The sequence below is a fragment of the Homo sapiens genome, chromosome 2 (genome assembly GCF_000001405.40).
Source record: "Homo sapiens chromosome 2, GRCh38.p14 Primary Assembly".
In the NCBI taxonomy this organism is placed as follows: Eukaryota; Metazoa; Chordata; class Mammalia; order Primates; family Hominidae; genus Homo; species Homo sapiens.
The window spans coordinates 95,225,002-95,244,064 of NC_000002.12; the positions used below are offsets into that span (position 1 = coordinate 95,225,002).

Below are 19,063 nucleotides of genomic sequence, written 5' to 3' on the forward strand. Positions count from 1 at the left end.
TAGGCTCCAGAACGGTGAGGAAATAAATTTCTATTCGCTATAAATTACCCATTATAGCATTCTGTCATAGCAGCACAAAAGGGGCTAAGACATGGTCTTTGTGATTGGCTTCTTTCACTTACCATAATGTTTTCATAAGGTTTATGTTATAGAATATATTAGTGCTTCATTTATTTTAAAAACATTCTTTCCTTTTTTAAAAAAATCTCAAATGTGATAGTACTTTTTTTATGTGGTAAAAAACACATAACATAAAATTTACCCTCTTAACCATTGTCTTAGTTTGTTTTGTGCTGCCATAGCAGAATACCACAGATGGTAGTTTATAAGGGTGGAAAATTTATTGCCTCACAGTTCTGGAGGCAGGGAAGTTCGAGATCAAGGGGCTAGCATCTGATGAGGCCCTCCTTGCAGCATCATCCCATGATGGAACATGGAAGGGTAAGAGAGACAGCAAGAGGAGACTGAACTCACGCTTTTGTAATGGCACCAGTTGCACCCACAAGGGTGAAGCCCTCATGGCTTAATCACCTCTTAAAAGGTCCTGCCTCTTTAAACTCTTAACACCGGCAATTAAATTTCAACATGAGTTTTGGAGGGGGTAAACATTCAAACCATAGCATTCCACCCCAGCTCCCCAAAACTTTAGTCCTTTTCACATACAAAATACATTCATTCCATCCCAATATCCCCAAAAGTCTTAACTGATTTCATAATCAACTTCAGATTCCAAAGCCCAGAGTCTCATCTAAAATCAGATATGGGTGAGACTCAAATCACTATTCATCCTAAGGCAAATTTCCAGCTCTGAGCCTGTGAAATTAAACAAGTTATGTGCTTCTGAAATACAATGGTGAGACAGTCATAGGATAGACATTTGCAATGCAAAAAGGAGACACAGAAAAAAAGAGAGGAGATCCTAAGCAAGTCCACTCTGTGGCTTTCCTGGGCTCAGTTCACACAGAAGCTCTCATGGGTTGAAATCTTGTTCCTGCAGCTCTCCCAGGCTGGTGTTGCACACTGGTAGCTCTACAGTTCTGGGGTCATGGGAATGGCCCTGCCCCCACAGCTCTTCTAGGCCTAGTGGGGGACTTTATGCAGTGGCTCTGATCCCACAGTTCCACTGGGCATTGCCTTAGTGGGGTCTCTTTACAGTGGCTCCACCCCTGTAACAAGCCTCTGCCCCAGGCTGTTCATGACATCCTTGGAAATCTAGGGCTACATTTAAGATCAGGTCATCTGCAGATAATTTTATTTCTTCCTTTCCAATTTATTGCTTAATTACTCTTACTAGGACCTCTAGTACTATGTTGAATAGAAGTTAGTCTGGTGAGGATCGGTAGCTGATAAATTGTCAGTTTCTGTTGACTGATGACATTTCTGTTTCTGTTTGACATTTTTGCCTCAGTTCCTGAAATGTATTTTCACTGGATGTTAAGTTCTAGGCTGCTGTTATTTTTCTCTCATCTCTTTAAAGACAGTGTCCTACTTTGGTTCGACTTAGCTTCTTATGGTTTTATAATCATGAATTGTGAGCTTACGTTTTACTGGCCTTAGTATGTAGGGATTCTGGAAGGCCTGTGTTGTGGGGTGTTTCTCTGAAGAAGAATTAAATAAATTTATTTCTTGAATTGAGATTTCCTGGACTAAGCAGGAAACATTACCTCAAATGCCAAACTCTCCTTGGGACAGGTCTGTGGTTATTGACTCACTAAGGGAAGAACACCCCATTCCCAACTCTCATCACCAAGTGTGGGGTTGCTTAGGCCCACGTGTCCCTGTGGGCCCCCATTTTTAGTGGTTAGATGCATTTTCTACCACCTGTTTCACTAAGGGTCTCAATCCACTGTGGTGTCCTGGATCCAAATCACTGCCCTGTTCATGCCCAGGTTCTGGTCTCCTGGCTTAAGTGGCTCTTGAGTCCCAAAGTCCCAGGGAGTTAAGAGTAGCATGCAAGGCAGGAAATTTCTGGTTTCTTTTGTCCTTATAAATGAAGTATTTTATTAAATGAATTATTTTTCAAGACAATGAAATAATCGCTACCACAATTTATTGATATGGCCCTAGAAAGGAGGGACCTGAGGCTCCTCTCTCCTCCCTCCCCTCCCCTCCCTCCCTCCCTCCCTTCCTTCCTTCCTTCCTCCCTCCCTTCCTTCCTTCTTTCCTTCTCCTTGTTTTTTTCTTTCTAGCACATCTGCTTTATCTTTGTCTATGCATGTTTTCCTTTTGCTGAACTATTTGCGACAGGATTGCCGACATCATGACATTTTACTACTCATGTCCTGTATCTTACAAGAATATGTATCAGCATGTGTATTTTTTTATTTTATTTTATTTTTTGAGGCAGAGTTTCACTCTGTCTCCCAGGCTGGAATGCAGTGGCGCAATCATGGCTCACTGCAGCCTCAACCTTCTGGGCTCAGGTGATTCTCCCACCTCAGCCTCCCAGGTAGCTGGGACTATAAGTGCACACCACCATGCCCAGCTAATTTTTTTTTTTTTTGTAGAGACAGGGTTTTGCCATGTTGCCCAGGCTGGTCTCAAACTCTGGGCTCAAGTGATCACCTGCTTCAGCCTCCCAAAGTGCTGGGATTACAGGCCTGAGCCACTGCGCCCAGATATTTCATTTTCAGAGACAGGGTCTCTGCTCTGTTGCCCAGGCTGAAGTGCAGCAGCATGGTCATAGCTCAGTGTAACCTTGAACTCCTGGGCTCAAGCAATTCTCCTGCCTCAGCTTCCCGAGTATCTGGGATTACAGGCACACACCACCACATCCAAGTGATTTTTTTTTTTCTTTGTAGAGATAGGGTCTCGCTATGGTACACAGGCTGGTCTCAAACTCCTAGGCTCAAGCCATCCTGCCAAAGTGCTGGGATTATAGCATGTGTCTTCTATGAGCAAGTACATTCTCCAACATAATCGCAATGCTGTTATTCAACCCAAACAATCTAACTCTGATGCAAGATTACTGTCTAACACACAGTTAGTTTAAATTTATCCACAGTTATCCCCAAATGTCATGTACAGCTCCCTGTCCAATTTCCAATCAGTTGGGACACACTGCATTTATTTGTCCTGCCTCTTTAGTTTCCTTCAGTCTGGAATGGTCTTTCCACCTCGTTTTGTCTTTCATGACATTAATATTCTGAGAAGTCCAGACCAGTTGTTTTGTAGAATGTTCTACCATCTGCGTTTTCTGTCTATTTCCTCATGATTAGATCCAGATTAAGCAATTTTGACAAGAAATCTACACATGTGTGATTTTCATTAAATGACAGGAGGGCTGGGCTTGGTGGCTGTCCTCTGTAATTTCAGCTATTCAGGAGGCTGAGGCAAGAGGATTGCTTGAGCCTGGGAGTTCAAGGTTATAGTGAGCTAGGATCATGCCACTGCCCTCCAGCCTGGGAACAGAGTGAGACCCTGTTTTTAAAAAAATTTTTTTTGCATCACATCAAGAGACTCAAGATGCCAATTTGTCCTGTTCCTAATGCTAAATTTGATTACTTTGTTCACATGTTGTCCAAATTCTCTAGTTGTAATTAATAACTTTTCCCTTTGTACTTAATAAAATAATCTATGAATATCTTGGCTCCTAACAACTTTTCACCTAGTGTTTTTGCTTTCCATTGATGATACTTGCCTGAATCAATTATTACATTAGTGCCTACAAAATGGTGTTTTTATAATTCTGTTATTCCTCCCACATTTAGTGCAGGCATTCTCATGAAAAGAGGAGCTTTCTATCTCCACTTTCCACCTGGTGGTTTTCTTTTTTTAATATATTGTGAAAGGAAAATATCTTGGGCCCCCAAAATCATTAAGGAAAACTCAAGTTGGAAACTGCTTAGAGTAAACCTGCCTCCCATTCTATTCAAAGTTACCCCTCTGCTCACTGAGATAGATTCATATCTGATTTGCCTCTTTGGAAAGGCTAATCAGAAACTCAAAAGAATGCAACCATTTGTGTATCATCTGTCTGTGACCTGGAACCTCCCTCCCCACTTGCAGTCTTCCTGCCTTTTTTTCCAGTTGTCCCGCCTTTCCAGACCGGACCAATGTACTTCTTAATAGATTGATTGATGTCTCATGTCTTCCTAAAATGTGTAAAACTAAGCTGTGCCCCGATCACCTTGGGCATGTGTCGTCAAGACTTCCTGAGGCTGTGTCATGGGCATGTCCTCAACCAGGGCAAAATAAACTTTCTAAATTAACTGAGACCTGTCTCAGATTTTCCAGGTTCACGGTATCACTATGGGTCCATGGATTCCTTTTAAAGTTTTAATTGAGGGTTAACATTCGTAACATGTATAGATCTTCAGTATATGCTTGGTGAATTTTTACATGTCTATAAACCCAGGTAACAACTAACCATACAGACCCTTTTCATTCTGCTGGAAGGCTCCTCCATGCCCTTCCCTTCCCAGTTAATCCACCCCACGCCACCCCACCTCATTGTCCCAATGCCTCACCTCCCCATCCCTGTGGGTGATCACTGGTTTGGTTTCTATCTCCTCTACTAGTTTTATCTGTTTGAACATTATTTAAATAAGATCCTGTAGTATATACTCCTTTGTATCTGGCTTCCTTACCCCACATTTTGTATGATTCAACCATTCTGTATGTATCAGTTGTTCTTTTTCACTGATGGTGTGGTATTCCACTGTAGGAATATACTACAGTTTGTTTATTCATTCTACTGTTGATAGATAATTGAATTGTTTCCAGTTTGGGGGCTCTCATGAATATAAGTGCTATGAACATTCCTAGTAAGCATATGCATTTCTCTTGGGTACATATACCTAGGAGTAGAATTCCTGAGTCATAGAGCAGACAGATGTTTAGCTTTAGAAGATAATGTCAAATGGTTTTGACTTTACCAGTTTACAGCACCTCTGTCAGCTAGGCATGAGTTCCAGTTTGTCAACACTTTGTACTTTTAGTCTGTTACATTTTAACCATCTGGCTTATGTGCAGTGGTCTCTTCATACTGGTTTAAATTTTCATTTTTCTGTGGTATATATATATATATACCATGGAATAAAAGGAATGAAATAATGGCATTCACAGCAACCTGGATGGAGTTGGGGACCATTACTCTAAGCGAAGTAACTCAGGAATGGAAAACCAAACATTGTATGTTCTCACTTATAAGTGGGAGCTAAGCGATGAGGATGCAAAGACATAAGAATGATATAATGGATTTTGAGGACTCAGGGGGAAAGGGTGGGAAGGAGATAAGGGATAAAAGACTACACATTGGGTACAGTGTACACTGCTCGTGTGATGGGTGCACCAGAACCTCAGAAATTACCACTAAGGTACTTATCCATGTAACCAAACACTACCTGTTCCCTCCAAAATTTGAAATATAAATAAATAAAATAAATTTTCATTTTTCTGAGTATTACTAATGTTGATCACTTTTTCAAGTATTTATTGGATATTGGTTATATTCTCTTTAAAAGTGACTGAATCTTTTATCCATTTAAAAAAATTCAGTGTTTTTAAGTTGCTTTGCGGAAGTTCTTTATCTGTATTCTTAATGCAAGTCCTCTGGTAGCTGTCTGCATTGGGAACATTGTCTCCCAGCACTCAGCGATGGTGAGACGGGAAGTGGCAGACCCCCGCGCTGGCTCCTCCGTCGCCGCCTCTGGGTGCCTCCCTGCTTCCGATGGGATGGAGGTTTCAGGCTCACTTTGTTCTTTCCTTGCACCAAATCTGGAATCAGCCAAGGATCCTTGGTTCCTTTTAGTGAGGAATGACTATGTGTTTTTAAAGCTCTGGGGGTTGCTCTTATGTTTTCATGAGCTGATTTATGATGTTTTAATCCAGCATTTCCATTTTAAAGTGTGGGGAGTTGTAGAGAATGCCCACTTCACCCAGTGCTGACACGATAGTGTCTGTGAGTGCTTCTTAGCACTTATGTTGCTGCTTATGTACAATTGGACCCCTTCCAACCTAAAAAAATATAAGGAAGGTCTCACACTACTGGTGGGAAGATAAAAATGCTACTACCACTTTGGAAAATGGTTTGATAATTTCTTATAAAGATACCCATTGACCCAGCAATCTGACTCCTGGATGTTTGCCCGAGAGAAATGAACACATATGTTCACAAAAAGACTTCTTCAAGCATGTTCCTAGCAATGCTCTTCACAACTGGAAACAGCCCAAATGTCCATTAGCAGTATAATAGAAAAACAAATTACAGTGTATTCACACAATGGACTACTCAACAATAAAACAAATGAGCTCATTTCAAAACCTCATGTTGAGTGAAAGAAGTCAGAACACTACAGTACGTATTACATTATTTCATTTATATGAAACTCTAGAAAAGTCAGCACTGATCTATAGTGACAGAAAGTAGAAGAGTCACTGCTACTTTGAGGGGGACTGCCTGGGAAGGGGCAGAACAAACTTTCTAGGGCGATGACATTCCTTATCCTGATTGGGGTGTGCATACAACTGTGTATCTGTTTGTCAAAATTGTACAGTTAAGATTTACATATGCAATGTATATAAAATTTTCCTAAAATGCATATAAATATGCGAGAGTGTGTGTATAAATTATGTCTCCAAGTGTAAAACAAAAAGGAAGGACAGAAATATTAACTGCCTAGCAAAAGCTTGAAGTTGGCTGAGTAGATCAAGTTAATTTAACTCCAGGGGAACATTTGGCAAAAGGGGAAACTGGAGTTCTCTGTACTATTACTGAGCTTCAGGGCTGTCATCCAGGGGCTCAGCTTTGGTTTTACTTTTTTTTAGGGATTTGTTTGCTTCAAGAACTTCCCTGTAGTTCCGTTCAGCCTCACCAGGTGGCAGTGTCATATCAGCTAGGGGCCTGAGAAAGGTCAGCTCTCAGGAGACCCTGGTGCTCTCTGGAGCAGCTGGAGAGCGGGTGCTATTGTGTCATCATCAGTGGTCTTTGAGCAGACTATGACTCATACTCATTCACCAGGCTTAGCTGGACATTTTTTATCTTTTTCCAAAAATTATATCTGGGGCACAAATGTGTCACATTTGCAGGTATTCAAAAGACTGTGCCTGAGGCCCCATGGAAAGCTGGGTGGAGGAAGAGCTCCCAAATCCAACATGTAAGCTTCCCCGAAATGGAAGACTTGTGTGCGGCATGATTCCCTGTGGAGGGGTTTGGAAACATGGAAATGATTTCCCTCCACAGAGACGTACTTCTGCGACTTTCGATTTTACCGGGGGGCCCTGGGCTTCACTGATGATTATTCACATGTATTGAGCATTTACCATGCATCAGGCACTGTTTTAATTGTTGAACATACATGATATCATTTCTGGTCTAGCAGGTAGGGACTATGAATATCCCAATTTTTCAGGAGAAGAAACAGATACCAAGGGGCATTGTGACATTCCAGTGCTTGTGAGAAGGCAGCTGGCCTGACCAGACAGTCCACTCCAGGCTACAATCCAGGCAGGGCGCCTGGGACACTCCTAGCCTAGTGGCTGAGCAGAATGATAGGAGAGAGATTTTGGCAAACATTTCCATTACAGTATTTTGTTCTTCATCTCTTTAAAATCTTGGGTGGATTCCCCAGCTCAGTGTTTGTCTCTCTTGGTACATCTAGTGTACTTGGTGACATTGGAGCTTCCACTTACAGCCTATCTGCTTCAAAGCACACTGTAAGGAGGTCAGTCTCTTTAGAGGCTTTGTCTATGGACAGCAGCAACAACAGCAACAGGAAAAGGATTCTATTTTATCATCGTTACTTAGCACATGTTTGTACCCTGGTCTTTTAAATGCTAATATAGACTGCTTTGAATATACCTATATATACATGTATGTATATGTATGTATTTAAGGGAATAGAGTTGCAGAAATATTCCTCCATTCCCTCTTGCTCGTTGTGTGGTGGAGGACACATAATGGGTACTAAGTACAGGTTTGCGAGCTGAATGGCCTGTTGAATTCTTGGCAAAAGGCACCTGAAATTATGTTTAGCTCCCTAGTTAGTTTGCCTCATTATGTGGGATGTCCTGTTTCCTGCCTGATTGGTTTTGAAAGGCACTTTCCTGAGGGACGACTTCAGGTCACCTCCTGAGCCTCTGGTTTTATTTTCTGGAAGCACACCTTTGTCCAGAGTTTCTTTAAGGACTCCAAATTAGTTTTTTTGTTTTTGCTTTAGTTTTACACATACACACCAGACTTACATTTTATTTTTTCCTTTTCTTTTTTTTTTTTGGAGGCAGATTCTCACTCTGTCGCCCAGGTTGGAGTGCAGTGGTGCAATTATAGCTCACTGTGGTTTAGAACTCCGGGGCTCAAGCAATCCTCCCACCTCAGCCTCCCGGGTGGCTGGGACTACAGGCACGTGCCACTAGACCTGGCTATTTTTTGAAAAAAATAAAAACATCTCGGCCGGGCGCGGTGGCTCACGCCTGTAATCCCAGCACTTTGGGAGGCCGAGGCGGGTGGATCACGAAGTCAGGAGATGGAGACCATCCTGGCTAACACGGTGAAACCGCATCTCTACTAAAAATACAAAAAATTAGCCGGGCGTGGTGGTGGGCGCCTGTAGTCCCAGCTACTCAGGAGGCTGAGGCAGGAGAATGGCGTGAAACCGGGAGGCGGAGCTTGCAGTGAGCTGAGATCGCGCCACTGCACTCCAACCTGGGCGACAGAGCGAGACTCCATCTCAAAAAAAAAAAAAAAAAAAAAAAAAAAATCTCGCTATGTTGCCCAAACTGCTGTCAAATTCAAGCAATCTCCCTGCCTCGGCCTCCCAGAGTGCTGGGATTACAGGCATGAGTCACCACGCCTGGCCCTCCTTTGAAACTTCCCCCAACTCCTTTGAAATGTCTTGGGGGCTAATTTTTGTATTTTTTGTAGAAATGGTGTTTCACCATGTTGGGCAGGCTAGTCTGGAACTCCTAAGCTCAAGTGATCTGCCTGCCTTGGCCTCCCAAAGTGCTGGGATTACAGACATGAACCACTGTGCCTGGCTCATTTCTTAATTTTGAGAATAGGTCAGTTTTGTGAAATATGTGTGTCTTTTTTTGTTTTTTGAGACGGAGTCTCGCTCTTGTTGCCCAGGCTGGAGTGCAGGCGCGATCTCGGCTCACTGCAACCTCCGCCTCCCAGGTTCAAGCAATTCTGCCTCAGCCTCCTAGTTTTGTGAAATATGTGTGTCTTATTCCAGGAGGCAGTGGTGCAGGTGGGAGTAGGTGTCCATTTGGATGAGGTCTCCATATGGCGCCAGCAGTCAGGCGCTCAATGAGGAGCATTTATTTGGAAACAAAAGAAAAACAAAGTGGTTATTATGATTAGAAGAAGAACCCAGGAAAAGTAATTTCTCTCTCTGACATTTTCCTATCCCTCTTTCACCTGCCCAAGGCAGGACTCTAATCTGATTGTGGGTCTAAGACCTTCATTTCAGAGAAGGTCCTGCCTCACTCACCCTGGAAGAAGGAGTGCCGCACAGAGAGGCCAAGGAGACTCTGGACGGACGGGCCTGGCAGGGCTTCCCACTCGGTCTGTTAGCATTTGATCATGCTCTTCTTGTCCAATCACATTTCTACATGGTTGTTCAGGCTTCAGTCATGCCTATCCAATGAGGGTTCCATAAAAGGCCCAAGAGGACAGGGTAGGAGGTTCCAGATAGCTGAACACATGGGGGCTCACAGGAAGGTGAACAAAACTCTTTCCTGTGCCCAGAGGGTGGAGCACTCCAACTCCACGGGGGCCCTTCCAGACCTCACCCTGTATGTCTCCTCATCTGGCTGTTTACTTGTACCTTTTAAAATGTGCTTTGTAATAAACTGGTAAACAGAAGTGTTTCTCTGAAAACTAACCCTCTTTGGGTTTTATTATCGTAATTTGCTGGAGCAGCTCACAGGACTCAGGGAAACACATGAATCTGGTGGGTCAGAAGTTCCAGAGGTCTGGACTTGTGGCTGGTTAGAAGGAGGGGAGGGCCTTGTGGGAGTGAGTTCTCACCTTGTGGTTTCTTGGGCTATCTCTGGGTGGACAGCATCAGAATTGAACTGAATTGGAGGTCACCCAGCTGGTGTCCGCTGCACAACTCATTGCTTGCTTGGCATGTGGGGAGAAATCCCCACACATTTGGTCACAGAAGTCTTCTGTGTTGGTTATTGCTGAGGGAGAGAACAGGAAAAAGCAAACTGAGTGTTGTTTTTTTCCAGACTTTCACAAAGATTAATAATTGGACGCCTAGTCTCTGAGTTCAGAAGGCATCCAGTCAAGATTTCTAGAGTTGAGCTCAGAGCATCCTTGGATGATAGAATGGAGACAGCAGTTGTAGTTTAATGCACCTCCTGGTTTGCAGTTGGAATGTCTTCAGTTATAGCACTGGATGTTCCAGTAAACTTTTTTTTTTTTTTTTTTTGAGTCAGAGTCTAGCTCTGTCGCCCAGGCTGGGTGCAGTGGCGCAATCTCGGCTCACTGCAACCTCCACCTCTCGGGCTTACGCCATTCTCCTGCCTCAGCCTCCTGAGTATCTGGGACTACAGGCGCCAGCCACCATGCCTGGCTAATTTTTTGTATTTTTACTAGAGACAGGGTTTTACCATGTTAGCCAGGATGGTCTTGATCTCCTGACCTTGTGATCCGCCCACCTCGGCCTCCCAAAATGCCAGGATTACAGGCGTGAGCCACCACGCCCGGCCCCAGTAAACTTTCTCAGTGGCTCAGACAACAGCAGGCATGAAGTTTGTCCATATAGGATTTGTTGTGGTGATTTCTCTGAAGTTTATATCAAGTGGTCAAGTTTAGTTTGTTAGGGTTTCAGGAAAAGGGAAGTTTTACTTTTTAATGACTCCAAATCAGAAGGGCGGGAGAAAAATTGGAAATGTATAAAACCACAGGAGCCAGTTCAAAAGAGGAAGAAGCTCAAAGGTGGTGAATACAGTACTGTTCAACGCCTCCCCAGAGGTTGCAGCTTTAGTTGAAACAGAACTGTCTTCCTACAATCACCTCCATTTTCATCAGAGATCTCCTGAACTGCTTGGGCCCACTAGGAAGTAGCCTTCTTTATTCACCTGGAAGGCAGGGGACTCTGTGGGCAAGGAGTCAGGCTGGTTTAGTCAGGGGGCTTTACTGATTCCACGAAGTCACCTCTAGTTCCTTAAATCTGTCTGGTCATATCTGAAAATAGGACATTCCAGTCAAAGCCTTGGCAATATAGTTAATGTTTTCAAATTGTGTCTTGTTTTAGATTCTTGTTGAACCTATGCAAACAACTATATTGCCATAAAAATAAGAATACTCAAAGTTTCCAGAATTCTGGAGGAATCAAGTAGGAAGTAAAGGAGAAATGTCTCAACGTTATTTACAAAGGTATAATTTACCAGACTGCTGTAAGGTATAGATAGCTTAAGAGAAAAGAGAAAAGAGTTTCCTTAAATATGGTAAACAAGACATTAAAGAATCACCAATGTTTTAAACAGTTATAAAAACTACAATCATCTTCTTTGGTTCATTTAGTTCCATGTAATTAATTCTCGTTCTGCTCTATCTTGGATTAGCAGTTTTCTGAATCCATCCATTTTTTTCATTAGAGCTGTGGAAATTTTTACCACATTCAGTGGTATGATCTGAACATTGTCAGGAGCCTGTATCATTGCATAGTACTTGTCAGAGTCTTTCCATGAATCTCTTTGAAGATGAAACACTTTTGTCTGTAGCTGGTTGTAAGAGCTTTCAGGAAAGCATCAGAGTATAACAACTGTCTGTGATAGACAAAACAAACAAACAAAAAATAACAACCTTCTAGAATAGTCATGATTGAGGATATGGTGAGAGTTTACTATAATAGAGTTGGCAAGAAAATTTTATTATTTCTGTGGAATACAATACCTTAAGATACATAGAATTATGACTGATTATATGGACACTAAGGGCATTGAAAAATTTCTAGGAATTTCACATACAGGCATATGTCATTTTTATTGCACTTTGATTCTTTATTACACTTTGCAGATATTGTGTTTCTTACAAATGGAAGGTTTGTGGCCACCCTGCATGGGCACAATTTATCCAACAGCATGTGCTCCCTTCGTGTCTCTGTGTCACATCTTGGTAATTCTCACAATATTTTAAACTTTGTCACCATTGTTGGATCTGTTATGGTCATCTATGATCAGTGAGCTTTTTTTTTTTTTTTTTTATTTTGAGACTAGAGTCTCCCTCAGTCACCCAGGCTGGAGTGCAGTGGCGCGATCACGGCTCACTGCAACCTCCACCTCCTGGGTTCAAGTGATTCTCCTGCCTCAGTCTCCCGAGTAGCTGGGACTACAGGTGCCCACCACCATGCCTGGCTAATTTTTGTACGTTTAGTAGAGACAGAGTTTCACCATGTTGGCCAGGCTGGTCTTGAACTCCAATCAGTGATCTTTAATGCTATTATTGTAGCTGTTTGGGAGCACCATGAACCGCCATTAAGATGGTGAACTTAATTGATAAATGTGTGTTCTGACTGTTCCTCTGACCAGACACTCCCCTCCCCACCTTCCTAGGGCCTCCCTATTTCCCTGAGACACAACAGTATTGAAATTAGGCCAATCAATAACCCTACAATGGCCTCTAAGTGTTCAAGAGAAAGGAAGAGTCACATGTTTCTCATTTTAAATCAAAAGCTAGAAATGATCAAGCTTAGTGAGGAAGGCATGTCCAAAGCCGAGACAGGCTGAAAGCTAGGCCTGTTGCACCAAACAGTTAGCGAAGTTGTGAATGCAAAGGAAAAGTTTTTGAAGAAAATTAAATGTGCTACTCTAGTGAACATTGAAATGATAACAAAGCAACACAGCCTTATTGCTGACATGGAGAAAGTTTGAGTGGTCTGGATAGAAGATCAAGCCAGCTGCAATATTCCTTTAAGCCGAAGCCTAATCCAGAGCAAACCTTGAATTCTATGAAGGCTTAGAGTGGTAAGGAAGCTGTAGAAGAAAAGTTTGAAGCTACCAGAGGTTGGTTCCTGAGGTTTAAGGAAAGAAGCCAGCTCCATCACATAAATTAAGTGCAAGATGAAAGCAGCCAGTGCTGACAGAGAAAATGCAGCAAGTTATCCAGGATATTTAAGATCATTGATGAAGGGGGCTACACGCAACAACAGATTTGCAATGTAGACAAAACAGCTTTTTATTGGAAGAAGATGCCATCTAGGACTTTCATAGCTAGAGAGAAGTCAATGTGTGGCTTCAAAACTTCATGGGACAGCCTGACTCTCTTGTTAGGGCTAATGCAGCTGGTGACTTTAAATTGAAGCCAGTGCTCATTTGTCATTCTGAAAATCCTAGGGCCCTTAAGCATTGTGTGAAATCTACTCTGTCTGTGCTCTATAAATGGAACAACAAAGCCTGAATGACAGCACATCTGTTTATAGCATGGTTTACTGAGTATTTTAAGCCCAGGGCTGAGACCTACTGCTTAGAAAAATGTTACTGCTCATTGACAGTGCACCTAAACACCTCAGAGCTCTGATAGAGATGCACAAGGAGATTAATATTTTCATGCCTGCAAATACAACATCCACTCTGAAGCCCATGGATCAAGGAGTGATTTCAACTTTCAAGCCTTACTATTATTTAAGAAACACATTTCGTAAGGCTATAGCTGCCACAGTAATTCCTCTGATGGATCTGAACAAAGTAAATTGAAAGCCTCTGGAAAGGAGTCACCATTCTAGATGCCATCAAGAACATTCGTGATTCATGAGAGGAGATCAAATATCCACATTACTGGGAGTTTGGAAGAAGCTGATTTCAGCTCTCATGGATGACTTTGCAGGGTTCAAGCCTTCAGTGAAGGAAGTAATTGATGATATGGCAGAGAGAGAAAGAGAACTAGAATTAGAAGTGGAGCCTGGGCCAGGCGCGGTGGCTCACGCCTGTAATCCCAGCACTTTGGGAGGCAGAGGTGGGTGGATCACCTGAGCTCAGGAGTTCGAGACCAGCCTGGCCAACATGGTAAAACCCCGTCTCTACTAAAAATACAAAAATTAGCAGGGCGTGGTGGCGCGTGCCTGTAATCCCAGCTACTCAGGAGGCTGAGGCAGGAGAATCGCTTGAACCCAGGAGGTGGAGGTTGCAGTGAGCCGAGATCACACCACTGCACTCCAGCCTGGGTGACAAGAGCAAAACTCCGTCTCAAAGGAAAAAAAAAAAAAAAAAAGTGGAGCCTGAAGATGTGACTGAATTGGAATTGTTGCCAATCTCATGGTAAAGCCTGAACAGACAGTTGCTTCTTGTGGATGAGCAAAGGAAGTAGCTTCTTGAGATGGAATCTACTACTCCTGGTGAAGATGCTGTGAACACTGTTGAAATGACAACAAAGGATTTAGAATGTTACATAAACTTAGTTGACAAAGCTGCAGCAGGGTTTAAGAGGAGGGACTCCAATTTTGAATGAAGTTCTACTGTGAGTAAAACACTATCAGACAGCATGCTACACAGATATTTTGTGAAAGAAAGAGCCAATTGATGTGGCAAACTTCACTGTTGTCTTATTTTAAGAAATTGTCACAGCCACCCCAACCTTCAGAAACCACCGACCTGATTAGTCAGCAGCCATCATCATTGAGGCAAGACCCTCCACCAGCAAAAAGATAGTTTTTTGTTTTTTTTTTTAGATGGAGTCTCACTCTGTCGCCCAGGCTGGAGCACGTCTAGCTCTGTCACCCAGGCTGGAGTGCGATAGTGCAATCTTGGCTCACTGCAACCTCAGCCTCCTGGGTTCAAGCAATTCTCCTGCCTCAGCCTCCCTAGTAGCTGGGATTACAGGCATCTGCCACCACACCCAGCTACTTTTTTTGTATTTTTAGTAGAAACAGGGTTTCACTATGTTGGCCAGGCTTGTCTTGAACTCCTGACCTCAGGTGATCCACCCACCTCGGCCTCCCAAAGTACTGGGATTACGGGTATGAGCCACTGTGTCTGACCTACGGGATAGTTTAAACATAACTTATATGCACTAGGAAACAAAAAATTTGTGTCACTTGCTTTATTGCAATATTTAACATATCAAATAAGCTTAAGTAGTCTAGTAGATCTACTTTTATAAGATGAGAAACAAATCCTTTAAGATCTTCCAGGGGTTCTCTGGGAAATTCCGAAGTTAGTTCAAGGTTGAAAAAAAAAAAAGACTTTATTTAGAATTTGGTTTTGGGGAGGAGCAAAGATGTCCAGTTAGAAGCAGCTGCGGTTTGCAGCACTCATGGAGAGGAATGAAAGGAGCAAGTTAATACAGCACCTTCAACTGAAATATCCAGGTTCTCACATTGGGAGTGACTAGGCAAATGACTTGACCCATGAAGAATGAAGAAAAGCAGGGTGGGGCAATGGCCCACACAGGAGCAGCACAGAGCCAAAGGAACCCCCACCCCCAGCCAAGGGAAGCGGTGAGTAATTGTGTGACCCCACTCGGGAAACCATGCTTCTCCCATGGATCTTTGCAACTTGTGGATCAGGAGATCCCCTCGTGAGCCCACACTACCAGGGCCTAGGGTCCAATACACAAAGCTGTGTGGAGTCTCAGCAAAGCAGCAACTCAGGCATACACAGAGACCCAGGAGTTTTACATACTCCAGCCCTGGGATCCCCAGCAAGGCGGGAGGTCCACTCGTACATACCTCTAGAAAGGGTGCTGAATCCAGGGAGCCAAGCAGTATCATTCTGCAGGCCCCACTTCCATGGCATCTCTTAAGATAAGACCCACTGGTTTGGAATTCCAGCCAGCCAACAGCAACTGGCTGGAGTCTGCCTGAGACAGGACAGAGTTCCCAGGGGCGGGGCAGCTGAACCACCTCTGTGGTTCAGTCAACTCAGCCGTTCCAGCCTGTCCAAATGGTGCGGAAGAGGAAGTGTCCCCCACAATGCAGCATAGCTGCTTTGCCAGATCATGGCCAGACTGTTTTAAGCAGCACCTTGATCCATTCCTCCTCACTGGGTGGGACCTCCCTGCAGGGGCTTTAGCCACTCCAGCCAGGGTTATACGAACAGAGCTCTGATCTCTCCCAGGGATGGAGCTCCCAAGGGGAGGGACAGCTATCTCTGTGATTTGGTCGACTCAGCCATTCCAGCCTGTTGGCTTTGGAGAGTCCAAACTGTCCAGACCTGGAAGTGTCCCCACCCCACTGCCCCCAAAGCAGCACACCTGCTCTACCAAAAAGCAGCCAGACTGCTTCTTTAAGTGGATCCCTAATCCCATTTCTCCTGACTGGGTGAAACCCCCCCAACAAGCATGTTTGGGCCGGCAACAGGTCAGCACCCCCCTGGGATGGAGCTTCCAGAGTAAAGAGCAGGCTGCCATCTTTGCTGTTTCATAGCCTTCACTGGTGATATCTCCAGGCACAAGAAAAACTGAGGCAACTAGGGTTTGGAGTGGACCCCAGCAAACCGCAGCAGCCCTAAAGAATACTGGCCTGATTATTAAAAGAAAAACAAACAAACAGAAAACAAAACAACATCAACAAAAAAGACCCCACAAAAATCCCATTCAAAGGTCAGCAACCTCAAAGATCGAAGGTAGCTAAGCCCACAAAGATGAGAAAAAAATCAATGCAAAAGTGCTGAAAACTCAAAAAGCCAGAGTGCTTTGTCTCCTCCAAATGACCACAACACCTCTCCAGCAAGGGCACAGAATTGGGCTGAGGCTGAGATGGCTGAAGAGACAGAAGTAGGCTTCAGAAAGTGGGTAATAACAAACTTTGCTGAGCTAAAGGAGCATATTGTAACCCAATGCAAAGAAGCTAAAAATCATTATAAAATGATACAGGAGCTGACAGCCAAAATAGCCAGTTTAGAGAGGAACATAACTGACTTGATGGAGCTAAAAACACAACATGAGGACTTCACAATACAGTTACAAGTATCAATAACAGAATAGACCAAGCAGAGGAAAGAATCTCAGAGCTCAAAGGCTATCTTTCTGAAATGAGACAGGCAGACAAGAATAGAGAAAAAAATAATGAAAAGGAATGAACAAAACCTCTGAGAAACATGAGGTTATGTAAAGAGACTGAAGTTACGACTGATTGGGGTACCTGAAAGAGATAGAGAGAATGGAACCAAGTTGGAAAACATACTTCAGGATATCATCCAGGAGAACTTCCCCAACCTAGCAAGATAGGCCAACATTCAGGAAATGCAGAGAACCCCAGTAAGATACTCCATGAGAAAATCAACTCTAAGACATATAATCATCAGATTCTCCAAGGTCAAAGTGAAAGAAAAAATGTTAAGAGCAGCCAGAGAGAAAGGCCAGGCCACTTACAAAGGGAAGCCTATTAGACTAACAGCCGACCTCTCAGCAGAAACCTTACTGGCCAGAAGCAATTGGGGACCAATATTCAACATTCTTAAAGAAAAGAATTTCCAACCCAGAATTACATATCCAGCCAAACTAAGCTTCATAAGCAAAGGAGAAATAAGATCCTTTTCAGACAAACAAATGCTGAAGGAATTCATCACCACCAGGCCTGCCTTGCAAGAGCTTCTGAGGGAAGCACTAAATATGGAAAGGAAAAACTGTTACCGGCCACTACAAAAACACACTGAAGTACACAGACCAGTGACACTATGAAGCAATTGCATAAACAAGTCTGCAATATAACCAGCTAGCATCATGATGACAGGATCAAAGTCACAAATAACAATACTAACCTTAAATGTAAATGGGCTAAATGCTTCCAATTAAAAGACACAGACTAGCAAGCTGAATAAAGAGCCAAGACCCATCAGTATGCTGTCAAGAGATCCATCTCATGTGCAAAGACACACATGGGCTCAAAATAAAGGGATGGAAGAAAATTTACCAAACCTGGAGTCCCTCTCCCTCTCCCTCTCCCCACGGTCTCCCTCTCCCCACGGTCTCCCTCTCACTCTCTTTCCACGGTCTCCCTCTGATGCCCAGCCGAACCTGGACTGTACCCCTGCCATCTCGGCTCACTGCAACCTCCCTGCCTGATTCTCCTGCCTCAGCCTGCCGAGTGTCTGCGATTGCAGGCGCGCGCCGCCACGCCTGACTGGTTTTCGTATTTTTTTGGTGGAGACGGGGTTTCGATGTGTTGGCCAGGCTGGTCTCCAGCTCCTAACCGCGAGTGATCCGCCAGCCTCGGCCTCCTGAGGTGCCAGGATTGCAGACGGAGTCTCGTTCACTCAGTGCTCAGTGGTGCCCAGGCTGGAGTGCAGTGGCGTGATCTCGGCTCGCTACAACCTCCACCTCCCAGCAGCCTGCCTTGGCCTCCCAAAGTGCCGAGATTGTAGCCTCTGCCCGGCCGCCACCCCGTCTGGGAAGTGAGGAGCGTCTCTGCCTGGCTGCCCATCGTCTGGGATGTGAGGAGCCCCTCTGCCTGGCTGCCCAGTCTGGAAAGTGAGGAGCGTTTCTGCCCGGCCGCCATCCCATCTAGGAAGTGAGGAGCGCCTCTTCCCGGCCGCCATCCCATCTAGGAAGTGAGGAGCATCTCTGCCCGGCCGCCCATCGTCTGAGATGTGGGGAGCGCCTCTGCCCTGCCGCCCCGTCCGGGATGTGAGGAGCGTCTCTGCCCGGCCGCCCCGTCTGAGAAGTGAGGAGACCCTCTGCCTGGCAACCGCCCCGTCTGAGAAGTGAGGAGCCCCTCAGCCCAGCAGCCGCCCCGTCTGAGAAGTGAGGAGCCCCTCCGCCTGGCAGCCACCCCGTCTGGGAAGTGAGGAGCGTCTCCGCCCGGCAGCCACCCTGTCCGGGAGGGAGGTGCGGGGGTCAGCACCCCGCCCGGCCAGCCGCCCCGTCCGGGAGGTGAGGGGCGCCTCAGCCCGGCCGCCCCTACTGGGAAGTGAGGAGCCCCTCTGCCCGGCCACCACCCCGTCTGGGAGGTGTACCCAACAGCTCATTGAGAACGGGCCATGATGACAATGGCGGTTTTGTGGAATAGAAAGGGGGGAAGGTGGGGAAAAGATTGAGAAATCGGATGGTTGCCGTGTCTCTGTAGAAAGAGGTAGACATGGGAGACTTTTCATTTTGTTCTGTACTAAGAAAAATTCTTCTGCCTTGGGATCCTGTTGATCTGTGACCTTACCCCCAACCCTGTGCTCTCTGAAA

The 19,063-nt window shown here is 44.6% G+C and overlaps 1 protein-coding gene across 1 annotated transcript in view, besides 1 other annotated feature; it reads left to right on the forward strand.

The window, feature by feature from the left end:
- The window catches only part of ZNF892 (zinc finger protein 892), a 57,232-nt gene that overhangs the window by 18,647 nt on the left and 19,522 nt on the right, over positions 1–19,063 (forward strand). The window lies entirely within an intron of this gene.
- Positions 14,987–16,186: an enhancer, noted in NCBI's record as "CDK7 strongly-dependent group 2 enhancer chr2:95905736-95906935 (GRCh37/hg19 assembly coordinates)". NCBI's record gives its function as "activates an origin of replication core promoter dependent on BRD2, BRD4, P300/CBP, MED14 and CDK7 cofactors, with strong dependence on CDK7, by STARR-seq in HCT116 cells {active_cell/tissue: HCT116}" and the evidence as "EXISTENCE:reporter gene assay evidence [ECO:0000049][PMID:35650434]".